General features: G+C 38.8%; 1 long non-coding RNA gene across 1 annotated transcript in view, besides 1 other annotated feature; it reads right to left on the bottom strand.

Moving 5' to 3' along the window:
* The window catches only part of MIR548XHG (MIR548X host gene), a 198,548-nt gene that overhangs the window by 175,942 nt on the left and 1,639 nt on the right, over nt 1-20,967 (bottom strand). Inside the window, exon 2 of the long non-coding RNA NR_109925.1 lies at nt 718-819. This is a non-coding gene — a long non-coding RNA (MIR548X host gene). The remainder of the gene's footprint in view (nt 1-717; nt 820-20,967) is intronic.
* Nucleotides 7,532-7,732: a silencer, noted in NCBI's record as "peak4355 fragment used in MPRA reporter construct". NCBI's record gives its function as "represses an SCP1 promoter by STARR-seq MPRAs in K562 erythroleukemia cells {active_cell/tissue: K562}" and the evidence as "EXISTENCE:reporter gene assay evidence [ECO:0000049][PMID:32103011]".

Genomic DNA, 20,967 nt, shown 5'->3' on the forward strand with positions numbered 1-20,967 from the left:
TATCAAGGACTACGTAAATAAATTACATTTAAAATCTGCATCATGGAATAATATCTAAATGTGCAAATTATCATTAATGCATTTCATTTTCTTCTTCTCCACCTTGAAAATTTTGTGTTTTCCATATATTTTCATCTCAGAAAAAATGCAGACTAAACTTTAAATTTCCCAGGTCCACTTCTTAATTCCATACTCCACAATCCCCCTTCACAATTGGTATCAATGCTGTTTTCCTCCTCACCATCAATGCTTTCTCAACTATGACTACTTATCATAAATCCAACTATTTATAAGTTTCATATATTCTAAAAAATAAAAAAAGGAAACAGCATATACAAAGATAAAACTCCCTTCTAAAGTTCTACTGCATCAAGCTGAACTTTCTCTGCTTTTATCGCCTTAGAATCCTGTCACTTCTGTTAAAGTCTTCACCAGCCATTTGTTAATAAGGCTCAAGGCACTGGACTAGCCTTTCATAGATCCGCAGAGGCCTCCATAACACCAAAACCAAGACTCTGCCAGTATTCATGATCTTTGACCTCTATGCATATGACACAATTGACCATAAAGCCTTCTGGAAGCAATGACGCATGAAAAACCACTTGGGTAGCAGAAAGAGAAAGGACAAAACACATTTTAGAAATATTTAAGTGGCAAAATCAAATCAATTGATGATTGACTGATTGATTACCTAGATGAAGGAATTCAGTGACTCACCGGATATCAGATAATGAAGACAGGAGTTATGTGAACCTGCTTTTGGGACTTGGGTAGAGTGTGATACCAGCTGCTTTTCTCCTCACCATAAATGCTTTCTCCCTGTGAATCAAAACAGATTTATACCTTATAAAAGAAGGCTAGGATTTACATGGAAGTGATGAAGCATCTGTAAACCTGTGAGATTATCAAACACAACATTTTTAATCAGATGTCTATGAGTCCGAAGATCATAGCAAAATATCATAATGTCTATGAAATGGCTAAATTATTCTAGGAGAGATATAGAGTGTGGTAAAATGTTGGTCAGGAATAGATTTTTGGAAATATCGAAGTTTTATAAATATATATATTAAAAGAAACTCATGGGGAAATAAAAGATAAATGGGAATTTGAACTGAATATTTTCTATCTGATCCTTTAGATCCTCTTTCCACCCAACTCCACACTGCCCCATGCTTCAGGATCAAAGTCTGGTGACAAGTTTATGCCTGCTGTCCCAGTTTAATTATGAATGACACACTTTCTTATTATAAAAATAGTCCTTATTTTAACTGTAGATTATATGGCTATCCAAACCAGGACTCTCTGGTTTCTCTTTGGCTTCAGCCACTAGAGATCAGATGGAGGAAGGAGAAGGAAGTCAGAAAATTTGTTTCTGTGGCATCCTTTTTGACTTGTTACATTTGGTTGGTGGTTGTTCTTATTGGCCCCAGCTGATGGAATGAGCAAGTTTCCAGATGATCCCATTGGAAGGGGATATGTGTCTCTTCCAAGATCTTGATTGATGCAGGGGTATGGGCAGATCCAAGACAGTGTAGTGTCAAGGAAGTCAAGAAAGAATTTTCCAAGACTTGTGTAATACATGGGGGTGGACAAAGCAAATGCAACAGGTAGTCCAGCAAGACGAAGAAAAGATAGTCAAAATTATGAACAGTCATAAAAAGTATGGAAATTATAAATTTTGTTTCAGGTAGAGACAACAGATAAACATACATTAGGCATAAAATATTTAAAAAGAAAATAGCCAAAAAAACAAAAACTTTTCTGTTTAGTTCAACAATTATTAATGACCTCCTATTCTGATTTTAGGGGCCATTGTCTGAAGTACACGTAGGGAAGAAATTATAGAAAGGCGAAACTAAGGAAGTCACTATATATATTGATATAATAATTTATTTGAGTTTGAACCTATTTATACTTACTCATGTTTGGAAAAATGCAAGCAGATAGAGAATTTTTGTGGACACAATATTCCAAACAAACATACTTTTGCCCAGCTTATGAAGACTTACTTTCACCAAAGTTATAGAAATACTTTGGGATCAATATTTGGCATCATTCAGCAGATATGGAAGGTAATAAGTTGTTTAGCTATGTTTTAATCCTCTTCTTGGTGTGCTCACTGACTATTATAAGCTGAAAATATGAATGGCCAAAATAAAATAAACTATATGATTATTAGAAACAATACTAATAACTCCTAGAAAACAAAGACATACACAAATATCTAAAAACATGGCAAATTGCTGGAGAATGATTGTGGAGAAAAGTTAAATTAGCAGAATGTAAGAAGTTTGGCATTTTCGGGAATTTAGAAGCCAGAGTAATTAACCAGTAAAGAAAGAGTTAGGTCCTGCCACTTCTTCCCAAGTTCTCATCATTTTTCAAGGATTTGGTACATCTGGGGATTCTGATAGCTAAGCCCTGTATCCAATTTAGAAAGAGCATCCCTAATGTTAGCTGAAGGCAGTGGAGTAGAAATTTATCACTAAGGAACGAAATGCATTCCTTTTGGCAGAAAGCTGCTTAGAGGAATGTATTTTATGTGGTATAAAAGTGCATGGAAATTTTAGTTGTATTTTTCTTTAAATCTATGAAAAACTTTATGTCTTTGAGGGATAAACCCTATGCAGCTATTGGGAAAATAGGAAACATCTTAAAGAAGAACAAACTTATCCAACATTGCACACTATTCTGTTTCCTATTTCATAGGCTGGGCCACCTGAAATTTTATAACCCAACCAAACTTTAGATTCCTTGCATTTTCATACAGGTCTCCAGAAATGGGAATGATACTCTTGCTAAAATATCTGCTATTCGGAGTCTATTCTGCTTAGAAAATTAGCAGAATCAAGGACCATAAATAGATAGCATGTCATCTTCCAGCTTACTTTTGAAGAGATCTCTATACCATTGAATCTTCTGGGTTTGAATTAGAGTAAATGGTCAATGAATAAAGACAGGAAGAATGGAGAGAGAACAGTATCTGATAACTAAAACCCCCCAACAAGCACCAGAACATTTTTCTTTTTTAATAAAATGAGTTCTTCTATTTTCGTTTCTTCTTCAAATTAGTAAAAGAGTTTGAAAGGTACAATTTCAATGTGCCAAAGTGAAAATTTTCTCCCCTGATTAACAAATACTGTTACTGGCTGTGAGGCAGAAAGTTGTATATAAGCAGTGATTAAATATATAATGGGGTAATAGTGAAACTCTGGTAAACCCTCACACATTTTAGAGAATGACAGAGCTTTCTAGTTGTCTATGAAGTTACAGATGTGAAGAGCAAACTTTTTTCTTCTCTTAGAGGGGCTGAGCATGCCATTGTCACCTACTTTTCAGGAGGGAAAGATACTAGAAGAATATTGCTATCCTCTGATCACAAGTCACCCACTGGGTCAGTCACTCTTTCCTTAAGGACTTTTGGAAAATTGCACAATTACGGGTTGTCCTTTGCAAACAGCTGTGCTCACGACTTAAACACCGTTTTCTTTTATTGCAATGTCGGGGTCCTTAAGGAGTCCAGATTATCTTGTTGCTCAGAGAATTAATAAAATTTAGGTAGAGGGGAAGGAAAGTTCATTTTGAAGCCCAATAGGCCTCACGTTTAAGTCATGTTCTATATTATTTTATTAGTAAAGAAGCTGGTATTTAATCTCCATCTGTTTGATTTCCAAATTTTATCTGTCGGCACGTTTTGAATTTGTAATAGGCTTGACTGTCAGAACAATATTCACTCCTAAAAATTCAACCACTTTCCACTTATTATCAATTGTGCCTTTTCCTATAATTTCCATTAAAAATTCATGGTTTTTGCCTAATTTAATTAATAATTACCAACAATAGAAATGCCAAGTCCATAAAATTGATAGAAATTGGGGTGTTTTGTGGAGTTAATAATTTGGTTTACTTTTCTCATCTTTCATAGAACTTTCTTAACCATGTAGAATGTTCTGCCACAAGCAGAAGCTCAATAAGTTCTGCTGATTTGTTTTAACAAGTATAAGATTTGTTTTCTTTTGCCATGCAAATCTGGCTTACTAGAAAAAGCATTGACACAAGAAGGAAGTCAATATTTATGGTCTGAGCATTTCCAGTGTTAATAGGCTTAAGAGTGTACAAAATGCAGACGACTAGGCTATAAAATGACTTTGTCTTTCCCTAATCAGGAAAAACTACCAAAAATGTAATGTACAAAAATATATAAACTGAGTAAGCGTGTGCCCTATTGTCACTTATACTTCTGTTTTTCTATGTAAGTCAAAATGTAGCTTATATAGGAACCAGCTAGAAGAATGATGTATGGATATTTATAGGGGAAAATCTCATGGTTCTCCAAGGAATGCCTTTCTGTATGTAAACAACTCTTTAAGTTACAAGGCTCTTCGAAAAATGGCATGTTCTATTCAATGTAGATTCAATGAAAGAATATAGATTGCCAAAATCATTTTATGAAAAACGATAGCATTATGGTCCCACACCTTCAGGTCTTCAAACACACACACACACACACACACACACACGCACACACACACACCATATTATGGAAAGATAATGTTCTCTTGTTCTAAATCACAAACCAATAAAATATTCGTATTCTATTTCAAGCCATACTCATACTTTAACCTAGTCCTTGCACAAGTACAAATACTCCCTCCTTTTTTTTTTTTTTTTACAGAAATTCACATTTCAGTCTGTCACTGAAATGGTCTGTCAAAAGGCTAGCCCATTTTCTTAATCTAGTTCCTATACAATATACAAATACTGTTTTTTGCCTGAATGCGCATTTCAGTCAGCTGAGCCTATTTCATTGATATAAATAATTAGGTAGCGGAAACATCTTTTTGAGATGTTTATACATCAACAGAAGTCTCCATTATCCTTTATTTATGACCTAAGGGGATAAAAATATGAATCCAAAATTCGTAGGAATACAAAATGGCTGACTCATGCTTCTTGCAAAATGTATGCTTTCCATATGACCATTAAGAAATAGTGGCTCTACCCCTAGGTCTCTACCGCTATTTCTCTCCTCTCTATCTCTTCAAGCTTACTTACCCTTGTACTCATTCTTCCTTAAAATTCCTTTTCGTATGCTAGATGTTGATTCATCTCTTGTCATTTTCTACTTAATTCTTGCCTCCCAATAGATGTTACATTCAGAAAAAACATATTTCAGTTACAGAAACATGCAACTCTTTCTTACCTAAACATTTTTTTCACTTCAACCACCCTATTCCTTTTTATTTTCCTTTAAAGATTAACATATTTGAGAAACCATCTCTTAAACTGTCTCATTTTGGGTTAGGTGGAGGATTTCTAGATAAAACTCAAGACACATAGTAAAATTTGAATTTCAGATAAACAATAATTTTTTAGTATATTACAAACAGTGCATGGGTGTGTTTTTTGTGGATATTCAGGGGAGGGGGGTGGAGAGAGGAAAATTTCCCACAATGAATGTAAACTTGTGAGCAGGATAGACCCTATGAAGTATAAAATTAGCTCAATGTGAATTAACTTGTATTGCAATACAATGGCATTTCCAAATACAACTTGTATCTACAAAGTGATTTGATATTTTCTGACCATGAAAGTTTGGGCACTTAAGCCATAATTTTGAGAAAAAATGTATTATATCCTTTCCATTCTGTGAAGTCTGTTTTGAATTTTATTTATGAATGATCTGACCAAGTCATACCATTTTCTAGTACAGAAAACTGCTTTCTTGTAGGTTTACTAATAACTAAAAACAGGGCATTTTACTGCTACTGCTAAGTATGATATCTCACTCTTGCTATGTATTCAGAATGAGTACAGAATCATTTAATCAAAGAGTAAGGTAATATCCACTGAGAAGTTGATGAAACCCTCACATTGTTTGAGGAACAGTTTTAATTCACTCAAATTGACATCTGTAACTGATAATCACAGGGCATAATAAAACATTAAAAAAAAATTAACCCTGGTGTTTGCCATTCAGTAATATAACAGCATCTAGTTCCCTATCAGTATCATTAAATTCAAATAAAATACAAACTAATATTCACTTCAACCTATTTTCTACAGTGAATATTTGAAATATTTTCTTTAAAAAGCTAAATGTAGTGATAAATCAGATTACAACACTGTAAATTCTTTATGTTATCTTTAAAAAGCTTGCATATGTTTCACAGATATTTATTACACATATATACACATAAGAAAGATGTTTTAATGGAGGAAAAAGTTTAAATAATTTGATGTCAACCTAATAAAATATCATTAATTGTATGGGTGTTCACCTCTGGCTGGGGGCATAAGGCTCCAGATGATTTTAATGTTCTTCCTTGCTGAGCAACATTTTCTAGATAGTCTGTAATCAACACATTTTTAGCCAGTAATAAGAAACATATTTCTTAAAATAGTTTAAAAAATATTTTACCTTTTATTACTCATATCATTTGCCAGAGGCCCAAATACATATAGATCCTATTGAGCTGTCTGTGCTTAGGAAACCGAGAATGTGAAACCTGCTGGATGATGAAATAGCAGGGAAAGCAATAATTTATTTCCTAACAAGCTATATATAAGTCACTTCTTGAGTGAAGAATAGGTCAATTGTACTTTGTTTGGAATTGTTATTTATGTTTTCAAGTGAATATGTTTAACATTTCCCCAGAGTCCCTTTCTGTAGTTCTTAATGATTTCAGCTATTTATTAGCATATGCTCCCAGGCTAAAACAAAATATTCCAGGGGATGAATTTCTCAGTTTTGTAAAAAAAGTGGATTTGTGCAAGAAAACACTGCCCTCAAGCCTCTGTGCTGAGAAATTAATCTCTACAAACATAGAGAAATCCCCATTGTTCAAACAAGTTCTTAGGGCACAAAACATGGAAAATAACCTGAACTTCGTCATCACCACTAGAATATTTTTCTATGTTTATCTGTTGAAAATTACATAGCATGTCTAATAGGACACTTTCTAAATCTGTGAAATACTATGCAACTTTAAATGAAGCCACTTTTACTCTGATGAACTGCCACATGGCAAAGCAAGGACATAAAAATCCATTCAAATAGGTGTTATAAAACAGATTTATTAAAGAATGTATTACTAAAAAATGTAATACCAAGGGACAAACAGGCATACACAGATATTGAAATATAATTAAAATTATTACTGTATAGTCCTATTAAATATATGACAATTGCAAAATACTCAACAAATACAATATTCATAGGCACATTTTTTGTAACGATTATATACATTTTAGTACTCTCTCATATTTCACTGTGATTATAAATAGAACTACTCAAATATATTTGTTTCTTCCAAACCAGTTGTTAAGACTAAAATGAGACACAAAATAAATGATCGGAATAAAAATATCAAAGTCCCTTTTATATTCATTAGAAATTGTTTTCCTTGCTGTCACCCAAAGTTTCACACATATCTCAGAAGTGGAATAATGGGTTTGTTAGAATTCTGTCCTCTAAATAAGAGTCCTCTACCTTTACTTACATACAATGCAAGGTAGGTCAAAAATCTCTCTTCTTTAGAACACAATCATATTGAACAAAAGTTCTATATACTCTGTTACTATTTGCTTATCTTCCACTTACTTTCAGTTTATTTTAACCACTCACATCCCACGACTACACTGAGACCCCTTCTTTTATGATCATGGATTAATTTCTTGTTAAAAAAACTCTCTGAGCCTTGCTTAATTGCTGGAAACATCTGAAACTTCCTCCCCTTTGATCTATTTGACATTCTTAATTACCATCAGGACTGTTTAACTAGGCCTTTCTCATTCCTCAGTCAAGATTTCCCTTACCTTAAGTGCTGGGCTTCTCAGACGTCTGACTTCATGCTGTGTTCTTCCCACTCCACACATGCATCCTTGGCAATTATACTAATGGCTTCACTATTTATAGTATTTGGAGGTAGGTCCATATTTAGGTCACTACTTTGAATCATCCTCTCCATTTCTGAAGGTTTATTTTCTGGATAGTTCCACAAAGAATTTTCATCAGGCAGCTTATACTCCGTATGTTGAAAGTGGTCTGTCTCCTCTTCAATTCACAAACTAACGCAGTCAGTGACTCGATTTCAGCCGGTTGCAGAAACCAGTATTCTGAAGGAATCTTTGACTCTTCGATCTCTCCAGACACAGTGAACTACCAAGTCCTCTCAAGTTAACTTTCCGAATATTTCTTGAGTTTGCACTCTTCTCTAGTCCACTGATGCCATCTCAGTCAAGGCAAACATTATTTCTTGTCTAGATGATGGCTAACAAAACTCCCTCCAACTTATCCTTCACATAGCATCGAAATGCATAGTTGATCATGAGATGCCATGGCTTGAAACTTTTAAAGAAACTTCTCATTGTGCTTTAAAAAAATCTACTTGATATTATGTAAAAGCTATCTATGATATGGTTCATTGCTCATGCCTTTACCTAAAGAATCCCTTAATTAAATTCCTTGCAGAAATTATGTATATTATATGTATATATATAAAATGTATGTGTGTCTATATACATTTATATGTAATGTGTGTGTAAACATATACACACATTATATATAAATACGTATGTGTATCTACAGACATATATATTAAATTCCTTGCAGTAAATATATAATGCATTATATATCAATTAATTATAATAATATATACATTACACATTTAATTTACATATGTATTACGTATATGTAATGTAATTATATATAATTTTATATATATTACATATAATTATAATTATATATAGATCTTATATATAATCATATATTATATAATGCATATAATTATATAATGTAATATACAGTATATATAATTATATATTATATGTAATATATTATGCATATAATTGCTATAATGCAGCTCCAATATTTTCCAATAGGATAAGGCCAAATTGTGTATAATTCTGGTTTTAATTTTTATTTTCCTATTAATGAAGTTAAGCATTTTCACATAAATCTTTATGACACATATATAATATGTGTATATATATGTGTATATATTATATATAAATTTATATATACACATATATGCACATATATACACATATATACATATATACACACATATAAACATATATACACATATATACATATATACACGTAAATTTATATATATACACATACATATTTTAAATCTGAAGTTGAAATATATGTGTATATATATTTAAATTTATATATGTGTATATATATTTAAATTTATATATATATACACATATACATATTTTAAATCGAAGTTGCAAACTTATCTCAGTTCTCATATATTAAAGTACCAATCAGCTTAGTACCAGAGGCATATGGGTCTAGTTATATTACTATTATCATCACCATCATCATCATTTTTTTTTCCATGATGAGCCTTAAGCCATGTGAAACTCATGGGCACAAAAGGTAAAACTTTAATTGACTATTACCATGCTCACCACTTTTAAAACTTTATCTAGACTTTTTAAAAAATATGTCCTAAATTTGCAAAGTGTTTGAAGGATTTTCTTTTTCAGTTTGAGCCAGAACCTTATAAAAGACTGGTTATAATCTAGCTACAGCTAGGAGAGATACATTTCACTGACACTGCCAGCATCTTCTATGCGATGATTCATTTCCACAACTGAAGAAAACACTAACCTATGAATCTTGGGTTTTTTTCTTAATAAATCAGTTCCTAATTATCCCTCTCATCTTTGATCTTCTATGTAAAGCACTATGTTCTCCTTTCTTTTACATTTTGATCAAAATAGTTATTTTTCTGAATTGCTTGTAATTTTAAAAGTATAACACATGTGTAGCTGATTTTTCTTTTATCCTACTGTGGTATTAAAATCTCATTCATATATACACAACATGGATAATGAGTAGGGGGCTTTTAGAAAAAAGCAAAAATAAACACTATATATTACCACCTAGTTTAAAATATCAAACATTAATGATAACTTTGAAACCTTTTCATGATCACATTTTGTATCTAACACCCAGAGCTATCCATATTTTTGAATGTCTATTTCATGTTACCTTGCTTTCTACTGAGTTTTACAAATGGACTTATTTGCCTGTTTTTGTACATTATACAAATGGTATCACACTGTATGAATCCTAACATGGTTTATATTTTGTTGACTAATATTATGTTGTAGAAGTTACCTATGTTTCTGTGTGTGGCTATAGTCCAGTTTCACGGCTATACAGTATTCAGTTTAATGAATAGCCAAATTTATTCATCCATTCTCCTCTTGGTTGAAAATTTACTTGTTTATATATGTTTGCATTTACAAATGATTCTGCTAGGAAACCTCTTCTGTCTCATGTTGAACTTCTAATTGATTAATATATAGGGTACTTCCTCAGAAAAAAAATTTGCTGTAGAAGGGGGTATGCATGTGTTATAGAAAATACCAATTTTCTGGCCAAATTATTCCATATTCTGTTGAACCCTCCCATGAGCAGAATATGATCTCCTGAGACTCCAGATCCTCATCAAATCTTGCTACAATGCAGCTACAATATTTTCTCACCAATGTGCTAAAGCCAAATTGTGTATAATTCTGGTTTTAATTTTTATTTTCCTGTTAAGTAATGAAGTTAAGCATCTTTACATAAACCTTCATGACTCATATAAGGGATTTCTTTGTAAAATGTTTGATATCTTTTATTCATTTTGTATTACATTGTCTAATTTCTACTAATTGTTAACAATTAATCATATGTTTTGGATACCAAGGGTTTGTGGGTTAAAAATGTTCAAACTATCCTTCCCATTTTGTAGCATTTTACTTTATTTATTGGATTTTAGAAGAACAGAAATTTTGAATTTGATTGTAATCAAACAGTTTTATTTTTATTTTTATTTTTTTGAGACAGAATCTCATTCTGTCACCCAGGCTGGAGTGCAATGGCACGATCTCGGCTCACTGCAACCTCTACCTCCTGGGTTCAAGCAATTCTCCTGCCTCAGCCTCCCGAGTAACTGGGATTACTGTCACATGCCACCACGCTCGGTTAATGTTTTGTATTTTTAGTAGAGATGGAGTTTCACCATGTTGGACAGGCTGGTCTCAAACTCCTGATCTCAGGTGATCCACCCGCCTTAGTCTCCCAAAGTGCTGGGATTACAGGCATAAGCCACCGAGCCCAGCCAAAAAGTTTTATTTTTAATAAATGTTTAAGGCAAAATTATTTATTAAAAATTTTTAGTAAATTTTTAATAAAGTCAGGCAGTGGAGGCAGATACTTCTGAGCCTGTGGGGGCAGGGAGTGTCCTCCTGGGCCCCTGAGAGTACAGAGATACCCAGTTCCACAGCCACAGCTTCGGTGGCTGCAGCTGTGCCTAGGAGGGTGGGGGTCCTGTCTTCTCCTGGACCCCAAGAGCACAGGGATGCCTGGGTCCACAGCCATGGCTGGGTGGCTGTGGCTGCATGCAGGTAGCACGAGGCTCCTGCTCTGCCAGCTTAGAAGGGGCTAGGCTTCTGCCTGTTCCTGGATCCCACTGGCTCAGTGGAGCACACAGCCCTGGCTGCGCCTCCCCAACTTTAGCTGGCATCATGGCAACAGTTGCTCCAGATAGGTCACCGCTGCCAGCAGAAGGATACTTCACCTATGTTATTATTCTCTAAAAGTATAATTGTGAGATTTGTCCTCAGACTAATTTTAAGAAAATAAGCAGTCCACAGATGAATTTTAAGAAAACATCAGAGCAACTCAAATTGAGAAACACTTTACAGAATACCTGACCAGTACTCCTCAAAACTGTGAAGGGTATAAAAACAAAAAAGACTAAGAAATAGTCACAGACCAGATAAGATTAAGGGGGCATCACAGTAAAATGAAATGTGGCATCCTGAACTCAGTTCTGGGATAGTGAAAGAACATTAGTGGAAAAACTTGTGAAATCAAAGAATAGGAGTTCAGTTAATGGTAATGTACTAATGATGGTGTCAACCTAAAAGTGCCTGAGACAGGTCTCAATCAATTTAGAGGTTTATTTTTCCAAGATTGAGGATGTGACCAGGGAAAAAGAGACAAAATTTACAGTGGGATCTGTGGGATGCACTTTTTCCAAAAAGAGTTTTAAGGAGCTCAATATTTAAATGGGAAAGAGCAGCAGGAAGGCAAAGAGGGAAGAAAAATGGAGAGAAGGGTAGGTAGTGAGGTCAGCAAATACATTCTTGAGAGGCTTTGATTAATGCTCACTGAATCCACATTTTACATGTTTCTCAATTTAAGTTTCTCTGATGTTTTTCTTAAAATTGGTCTGAAGAATTATGATTTTTGTAAAATTTAGTCTGGGGACTAATTCTTATAATTATTATTTTGGGGAAGAATAATGTGTAATTTCACATGTGAAAAGAAAGAAGTGGGGGAATAAATTAATTATGCATTCATCTAGCACTCGATAGGTCTACATTTTACATAAGATAAAATAAGTATGTGTAATTACAGCTATCTGTTGAAAAAAGGAACTCAGTTTTTTTTCGATGACTCAGTCCCTTAGCTTAACTTTTACCTTTGGAATGGTGACTTTGGGGTCCTGAGATTTTATTTTTTTTCACAATGGTTTCTTAGTTGTGACAATTTTAATATAGTTATTATTTTAGAAACACGGAAAAATCTTGCCTTCAGGAGCTGACAAGCACAGGAGGGAGGCCAAGGAGGGCTGAGGGCCACTCAGTGCTTGCCTGAAGGCACCTCTTGGCATGACCAGCCTGGGTGCCACGAACTGCAGCAGGAGGCAGACAGGCTCCTGGGTGGGAAGGGGTGGGTCCCCAATGAAGCCCCATCTTCAAGCAACGGAAGGCCTGAATTCTGGGGACTGGGCTGCCAGCTCGGTGGACCAGAGTGGGAACTTATAGTGCTTTATCTGAGCCCACCCATGGCCACTCATGGACCAATCAGCATGCACTTCCTCTCCTCTGAAGCATATAAAAATCCCCAGACTTAGCCAGGCTCAAAAAGAGAAAGGATGACCAACTGTTGAGAGGAGCTATCCACTCCAGGGTCTCCTCTCTGCTCAAAGCTGAGAGGATGACAGGACAACCTGCCTGCAGAGAGGAGCTACCCACTCCAGTGTCTCCTCTCTAATGAGAGCGGGACACTCATCAGGACACCCTGGCTGCAGAGAAAAATCTACCTACTGTGGGTCTCCTCTGAGCTGTTCTATCACTCAATAAATCTCCTTTTTACCTTGCTCACCCTCCTTTTGTCCATGTGCCTCATTCTTCCTAGGCACAGGACAAGAACTCAGGACTCACTGAATGGGGGCGCTAAAAGAGCGCAACACAAACAGGGTTGAAATATGCCCCTTGGTCACCATGTTGCAGATGACAAGAAGGAGAGAAGAGCTATGGCCCTTTGAGGAGCCCAGACTTACGAGTTCCCTGAGCCAGGGCTGTGATACCCTCTTGGGGCTCCAAGGCATCTCCAAGCTTCTGGGTGTCTCCAAGCTTCCAGGTGCCACCGCCTTCCCCAGTGCCAGCTGTGGAAGCTGCTTGCTCTATTCCTGGTCCAGCTGAAGCCTCACAGGGAGCTGGTGCCCATGCCACTGCAGCCAGCACGCTTGGCTGTGCACAGTGGCCAGACCCACGCTTGCTTGCTCACACATGCTTGCTTGCCCTTACCGCTGTGCTCACCCTTGGATGCATAGGATCCAGGCCAGTAACGTGAGCTGAGCACAGCCTTCCAGGCCAAGTGAGCCCAGTGGGCCTGAGCAAAACTTGGGCACAGGTGCCACTGGCCACAGAGGTTTCTGGCTGGTGAAGTTGACATCCCAAGGATCCTGTAACACTTCCTATTACATTATATTAGTAGGTATATGGTATTAGCCATATTAAATCAATGTGATGTAGGCATCTTGCCAGAAAGTATTTACTATCTTAATGGCATGCTACAAACACATCACAATTCACTAATTAATTGAAATGTGAACCTCAAATATCTGAGACAGGTCTTAGTCAATTTGGGAACTTTATTTTGCCAAAGTTAAGGGTGCGTCCCTGTGACACAGCTTCAGGAGCTTCTCACAAGTGTCCAAGGTGGCTGGGGCACACCTGGTTTATACATTTTAGGGAAGCATAAGACATCGATCAATACATGCAAGATGTACATTGGTTCAGTCCAGAAAGGTCAGACAACTTGAAGTGGGGAGGGGGCTTCCAGGTCATAGGTAGATAAGAGGCAAATAATTTCATTCTTCTGAGTTTTTGATGAGCCTTTCCAAAGGAAGCAATCAGATATACATTTATCTCAGTGTGCAGAAGGATGACTTTGAACAGAATGGGAGGCAGGTTTGCCCTAAGCAGTTCTCAGCTTTACTTTTCCCTTTAGCTTAGTGACTTTGGGGTCCCAAGAGTTATTTTTCTTTCACAGATATCTGCTTTTTTTTTTTTTTTTTTTTTTTTTGAGACGGAGTCTCACTCTTTCGCCCAAGCTGGACTGCAGTGGCGCTATCCCGGCTCACTGCAAGCTCCGCCTCTTGGGTTCATGCCATTCTCCTGCCTCAGCCTCCCGAGTAGCTGGGATTACAGGCGCCCACCACCACGCCCGGCTAATTTTTTGTATTTTTAGTAGAGACGGGGTTTCACCGTGTTAGCCAGGATGGTCTCGATGTCCTGACCTCGTGATCCCCCCGCCTCCGCCTCCCAAAGTGCTGGGATTACAGGCGTGAGCCACCGCGCCCGGCCAGATATCTGCTTTTTGAAAATATCCTTTACTTGGATAATGATGCTTGAAATTGCTGACTGCTGAAAATTAATTAGCTTTTGGGCCATCAGAGCAAGTGGGAATGTAATTGAGTTCTGTATAGACCAGGGTGTTTCTAAAAGTGTCTTCTTAGGAGAGTTCTAAGGAGACATTTTTTTTTCTCCTCTTTCCATCGAGCACAATAGGTAAAACACACAAGTTTCTCTGCCGTTTCTCTTTGTATGAAGAGCTTATTTACCCTGAAGTTTCAACACTCAAGGGCCTCCGCTTGATGCAAAGACCCGAGGCTCTGTTTCCTTTCCCCACATGGCCACTGAAACAATGCCTCCAATGACTGGGTGAGGCTCACACCCTCAGGGCAGCCCCTGGCACCAGTAACTTCCTATCTCTCTGGAGTCCTTTGTCTCATGCTGGCCGGATATTACTAGGTCATCCATATGTTTAAAAATTCATTAAAATATATTTTATTCAGCACTTAAATTTTTTTTCTGTGTTAGAATTATTTTAGGATCTGCTGTTTGCTATGCTTTCTGTTTTTACACGTAATTTCTTCTCAATATTTTCTTTACACCTTCCATGATCCATCTCTTTCAAAAGATGGTTTAATAATTTATTTTTAGTATCTATTTTGACATGTTACCTTGCTCATGTTTAAGGTTTTCCATTAATTACTCAAAGAAAGATAAAGTAGGGTAAACAGTGAATAAGAACAGAGAAAATGGGATTGATACCAGCTACAGGTTGAGCATTACCAATCTGGAAATTCATAATTTGAAATATTCCTAATTCTGAAATTTTCTGAGCACCAACATGATACCACGGGTGGAAAATTCTACCCCTAACTCTTACCGGGGGTCCTTGCTCACAGAGCTCCTCAGATGGTGGCGAGCCACTTCCAAGATGGTGGTAGGCCACTTCCAAGATGGTGGCTAGCCTCGTGTTCTCTGACCTGGGGTTCTTGGCCTCACAGATTCCAAGGAATGGAATCTTGGGCCGTGCGGTGAGTGTTATAGCTCTATTAGAAGCCATGGGTCATGGAAGAGAACCGTGGAACCCAGTGACTAGTGTTCAGCTCAATTAGGATGAACCTGGGCACTTAGCCGTGCAGGAACAACGGCAAGCCTTTAGCCCAATCAGGATTGGCAATGGGTGCCTCGCTGGTTCAGGAGCACAGCGGACAGCCTGCCGGATCCGGAGGGATGGGAGTCAGTGGCAGGTCTGCGACAGCGGCAAACAGCAGTGGTGGAAAGCGAGCGAAAGCTCAGCTCGAGCCGTAACAAACATGGACCAGAAGAATGCAGTTGCAAGATTTAGTAGAGTGAAATAGAGTGAAAACAGAGCTCCCATACAAAGGCAGGGGACCCAAAGGGGGTTGCCGTTGCCAGCTTGAATGCCTGGGTTTACATCCTGATCCTTGTCCCTCCTGCTGTGCTCTCAGGCAATAGATGATTGGCTATTTCTTTACCTCCTGTTTTTGCCTAATTAGCATTTTAGTGAGCTCTCTGACTGGTTGGGTGTGAGCTAAGTTGCGAGCCCCATGTTTAAAAGTGGATGCGGTCACCTTCCCAGCTAGGCTTAGGGATTCTTAGTCAGCCTAGGAAATCCAGCTAGTCCTGTCTCTCAGTACCCGCCCTCAACAGGAAAACCCAAGTGCTGTTGGGGAGGTTGGCCAATGACAGCTCTAACTGCTTCCTGCTGAATTGGGGCATAGTAGGGGTTGGGCAGTTGTGATTTCCTTGGGAGGGGTGCCTTCGATGTCATTAATATCGGAGCATGGGCTAGCAGGCCAGTCTAGGGGCCCGCGGTGGATCTTAGTCATGGACTGCATCTGGGGCCCCATTTGAAGAACTATTTGTAGTTTTACAGTTTTGATTCTGGAAGAGACAAACTTAACAAGGAGGTTAAAGATACAGGGATTGAAATGTATGGCCTGCAGTGCAGGGGATTATTTCTTTGGCATACTTCACAGGCCCTGACTATCTGCTTGATAGTTTTGAAAAGGCCTGGTCCAGTAAATAATAATTTGGCCATCTGATGGGTGCTATCAATGCCTAAGTGGAAGGTTTGGTGATAAGTAATTTCTATTGGTTAGCTGCAGACAAAAGTATTTCTCCTTCTTCAGTGGCTAGCCATCTGGAGGGGAGGAAAGTATGTCCTTGTGAGGTTCCCTATTCTATTTTTCCTGCTGAATGCTGGGGCTTGGTTTCCTGGAGGGGATTACCCTATACTAGGGGTCCTTCTATAAGCATTTCTAATGGAGGGTCCTGCCTTGCGGCTCTTTTGACTTGAGTATCCGCTTGGTGGTTCCTTTCTATTTTCCTTTCTTTTCCTTTCTGATGACCTTGGCAGTGTAAGATTGTTACCTCTTTAGGTTTCTGTACAGCCAATAATAATCTCCTAATGGCTTCCTGATGTTTGATACGTGTTCCTTCGGAAGTTAGGAATTCCTTTTCTCTCTACATTGTTGCATGGGCATGGAGGAGTAGGTAAGCATGCTTAGAGGCTGTATATATATTTACCTTTTTTCTTTCTCCTAATTCTAGTGCCCAAGTGAGGGCTATTAGTTCTGCCAGCTGAGCACTAGTTCTTGGAGTGAGGGGATTACTTTTAAGTATTCCATTATCACTGACCACTGCATAGCTCACTTTTAGAAGTTTCCTTGTAGAAAAAGGACTTCAATCAGTATACAAGTTGAGGTCAGGATCAGTCAAGGGAAACTAAAAGGTCCCCTCTAGTGGCATAGGTTTGAGCAATTACTTGTTGACAGTTATGTTCTAACTTTTCTTCATTGTCTGAAAGAAATGTGGCTGGGTTAAGAGTTGCACAAGTGCGCAGTCGCAGCACTGGCCCTTTAAGTAATAGAGCCTGATATTTAAGTAAATGGTTGTCTGACAGCCACGAGTCTCCTTTAGCAGTGAGTATGCCATTCACATCATGAGATGTTCACACAGTAAGATCCCTTCCCTGTATTATTTTAACTGCTTCAGACACTAAGACTGCTACTGCTGCCACTACCCGTAAACAATGAGGCCAACCCTTTGCCACTACATCTATTTCCTTACTTAGCTATGCCACAGGTTGCAAGCTCATCCTTTGGACCCGTGTAAGGACTCCTAGAGCTATTCCTGTTTTTTCTGTGACATATAAAGAAAAGTCTTGCCCGGTTGGCAAGCTCAACACTGGGGCTTGGGTTAGGGCCTTCTTTAGGGCCTGGAAAGCCGCTTCTGCTTCAGGTGTCCATCTTACTAAATGGGTATTGGCTTTCTGAGTTTCCTTAATTAGTGTATATAATGGTCTGGCTATTTCGCAGTACTTAGGAATCCATATTCGGCAGAAAACTGTTATGCCAAGGAACCCTCTTAGTTGCTTTAGGGTTTTGGGATGAGGATAAGCCAGTATAGGCTGGATACGTTCCTCACTGAGGGCCCTGGTGCCTTTGGATAATTTTAGCCCTAAATATTTAACCTGCTGTGAGCAGAGCTGAGCCTTTCATTTGGAAACCTTGTAGCCACAGGTAGCGAGGAAATTAAAGAGTGCTTGGGTGGCTTGATGGCACAAGGTTTCTGAACGGGTGGCTAAAATTAAATCATCCCTGTACCAAAGGAAGAGTGTCCAGGTGTGAGAATTGGCTCAAGTCATGGGCTAATGCCTGGCCAAATAGATGGGGGCTATCCTTGAACTTTTGGGGTAAAACAGTCCAGGTGAATTGAGACGTTGGGTTCGAAGAATCCTCAAAGGCAAACAAGAATTGAGAGTTAGGATGTACAGGGATGCAGAAAAAGGCATCTTTAAGGTCCAGAACTGTAAACCACTCTGCTTCCTCTAGTATTTGGGAAAGCAGAGTATAAGGGTGAGGTACAGCTGGGTATAGAGGGACAACGGCCTCATTGATAACCCTGAGATCTTGCACTAACCTCCACTGTCCGTTGGGTTTCTGTACTCATAAAATTGGAGTATTGCAGGTGCTACTGCATGCTTTTACTAGGCCTTGGGCTTTTAGGTCCTTAACAATCTTTTGGAGTCCTTGTTGGGCCTTGGGTCTAAGGGGTACTGCCTTTGGTAGGGAAAGGAGGTGGAATCCTTTAGTTTAACTTGAACAGGATGGGCATTCTTTGCTCATCTATATTGTCCCTCCGTTGCCTAGACTTCAGGATTAATTCCTTCCTCAAGCAGGGGACAACAAATGGGTGTTCCTTCTCCTATGTTCAGGTGTATAATGGCCCTTGCTTTTGCTAGAATGTCTCTCCTTAATAAGGGAGTGGGGCTTTCAGGCATAATTAGAAAAGCATGTGAAAAGAGTAAAGCTCCACAGTCACAGCTTAGTGGCTGGGAGAAGTATCTAGTGACTGGCTGTCCTAGGACTCCTCAGATAGTGACAGATCTGGAGGACAGTTGTCTGGGACAGGAGAGTAAGACTGAGAAGGCCGTGCCAGTGTCCAGGAGACAGTTAACCTCCTGGCCCTCAATGGTCAAGCATATCTGGGGCCCTGTGAGGGTGACAGCATGGGCTGGCACTTGCCCCAGGCACCCTCAGTCCTGCTGCTGAATCATCTAGTTAGTGGCTTCTGACTCAGAGGAGCTTCATCCCCTGGGGCAGTGGACCTTCCAGTGATTCCTTTGACAGAAGGGGCATGGACGAGGGGGGAGCTTACTTCTACTTGGACAATCTTTTTTTAAAGTGTCCTTGTACACCGCACTGGAAGCAAGCCCTATTAGGCATTCGATTTGCCCAGCTTTTCCCTTTTCCAGAGCCTCCAAAGTCCACTTGCCTGAGGACCATGACTAAAGCGGTGGTCTTTTTTTTTATCCCATTTGTCCCGTTCCGCCTACTCCTCCTGATCTCTATTATAAAAAACAGAGGTTGCCAAGATCAATAGGGTTTCTAAGTTTTGCTCCAGGCCTAAGGTGGACTTTTGAAGCTTTTTTTCTGATGTCTGAAGCTGACTGAGTGATAAACTTATCCTTTAAGATTAATTGGCCTTCAATAGAGTCAGGTGACAGAGAGGTATGCTTCCTCAATGCCCCCCTTAGTGTCTCCAGAAAGGCAGTAGGATTTTCTTCCTTTCCCTGTGTTATAGTGGACATCATTGAATAATTCATAGGCTTCTTCCTAGTTTTCCTTAGTCCTTCTAGCACGTAAGTTAGCTAATGTCTGCAGTACCATGTTCTGATTCTGTGTCCCAGTGAGGATCTACACTGGGAACTGCCTGCTGGCCTGTGGGGAATCGTTCTCTTTCCTCTGTTGTCATCCTATCATTGACCTGACTGAGATACCAGAGATCGTCAAACTCTCGGGCTGCAGTTATGGTGGCACTTCTCTCATTTGGGGTTAGTGTCTGATTTAGCAGTAACATTATATCTCTCCATTGCAGATCAAAGGATTGTCCTAACCCTTGTAAAACATCAATATAGCCATCAGGATTATCTGAGAATTTACCTAGGTCTATTTTAATTTGCTTTAAGTCTGAGAGAGAAAAAGGTACATGCACTCTGGCTGGGCTGAATTCTCTTCCTACCACTGCTTGGAGGGGACATAATCAGGGAATATTGGCACTGTTTGGTTCATTGTTCATCCCTTTGTCTATCTCCTTTGGACCACTTGGGTAACAGGGGGTCCTTATTGGTTGGGGAAGGAGTCGGGGGCATGCTGGGATAGGCAGGTAGACTCTGAGGGCTTCCTGTAGGGCATAAACCACACTTTTTACATAATTGCGAGTTGTCTCTTAATGAAAATAAAGTTTGCACCTATGGCACTTCACTACATTTGCCCTCCTTTCTACAGAAGAGATCTAGCAGTAAGATGTTGTTATAATTTATACTTCTCTCAGGAGGCCAGGTTTCTCCCCCTTGAAGAGGGTATCGTGGCCAGGCGGTACTGCAGAAGAATATAAGTCATTTCTTTCTTAGCGTCTGAGGGTCAAATTGGTCCTAATTCTCCAGAATACATCTTAGGGGCGTTTTTGCCTTGGGGTGGGGGGAACGTTTCCCATCTGAAAAAAGAACATAGGGATGCCAGCACCCCTAGTCATTTTCCGATGAGCATTAGCCCTAGAGCGTCCTCTAAGGGCCTAATGCTTATTCTTTTCCAGGGTGAGTAACCACCCATGGACCTCTGCTTATCGGATTAGTTATGCTCACCGATGTAGCAGTCCTGCACCTGTTTTCCCGCCTCCCTTGACCACAAAGAAAGGGGTCCGGGCTGCTGGATTCTAGTGGTCCTTTACCAGCATGCCCAACATTGCCTTTGCGACCAGGGGTGAGTCCTAGAGCTTGGC

Source organism: Homo sapiens, chromosome 21 (genome assembly GCF_000001405.40).
Source record: "Homo sapiens chromosome 21, GRCh38.p14 Primary Assembly".
Taxonomy (NCBI): Eukaryota; Metazoa; Chordata; class Mammalia; order Primates; family Hominidae; genus Homo; species Homo sapiens.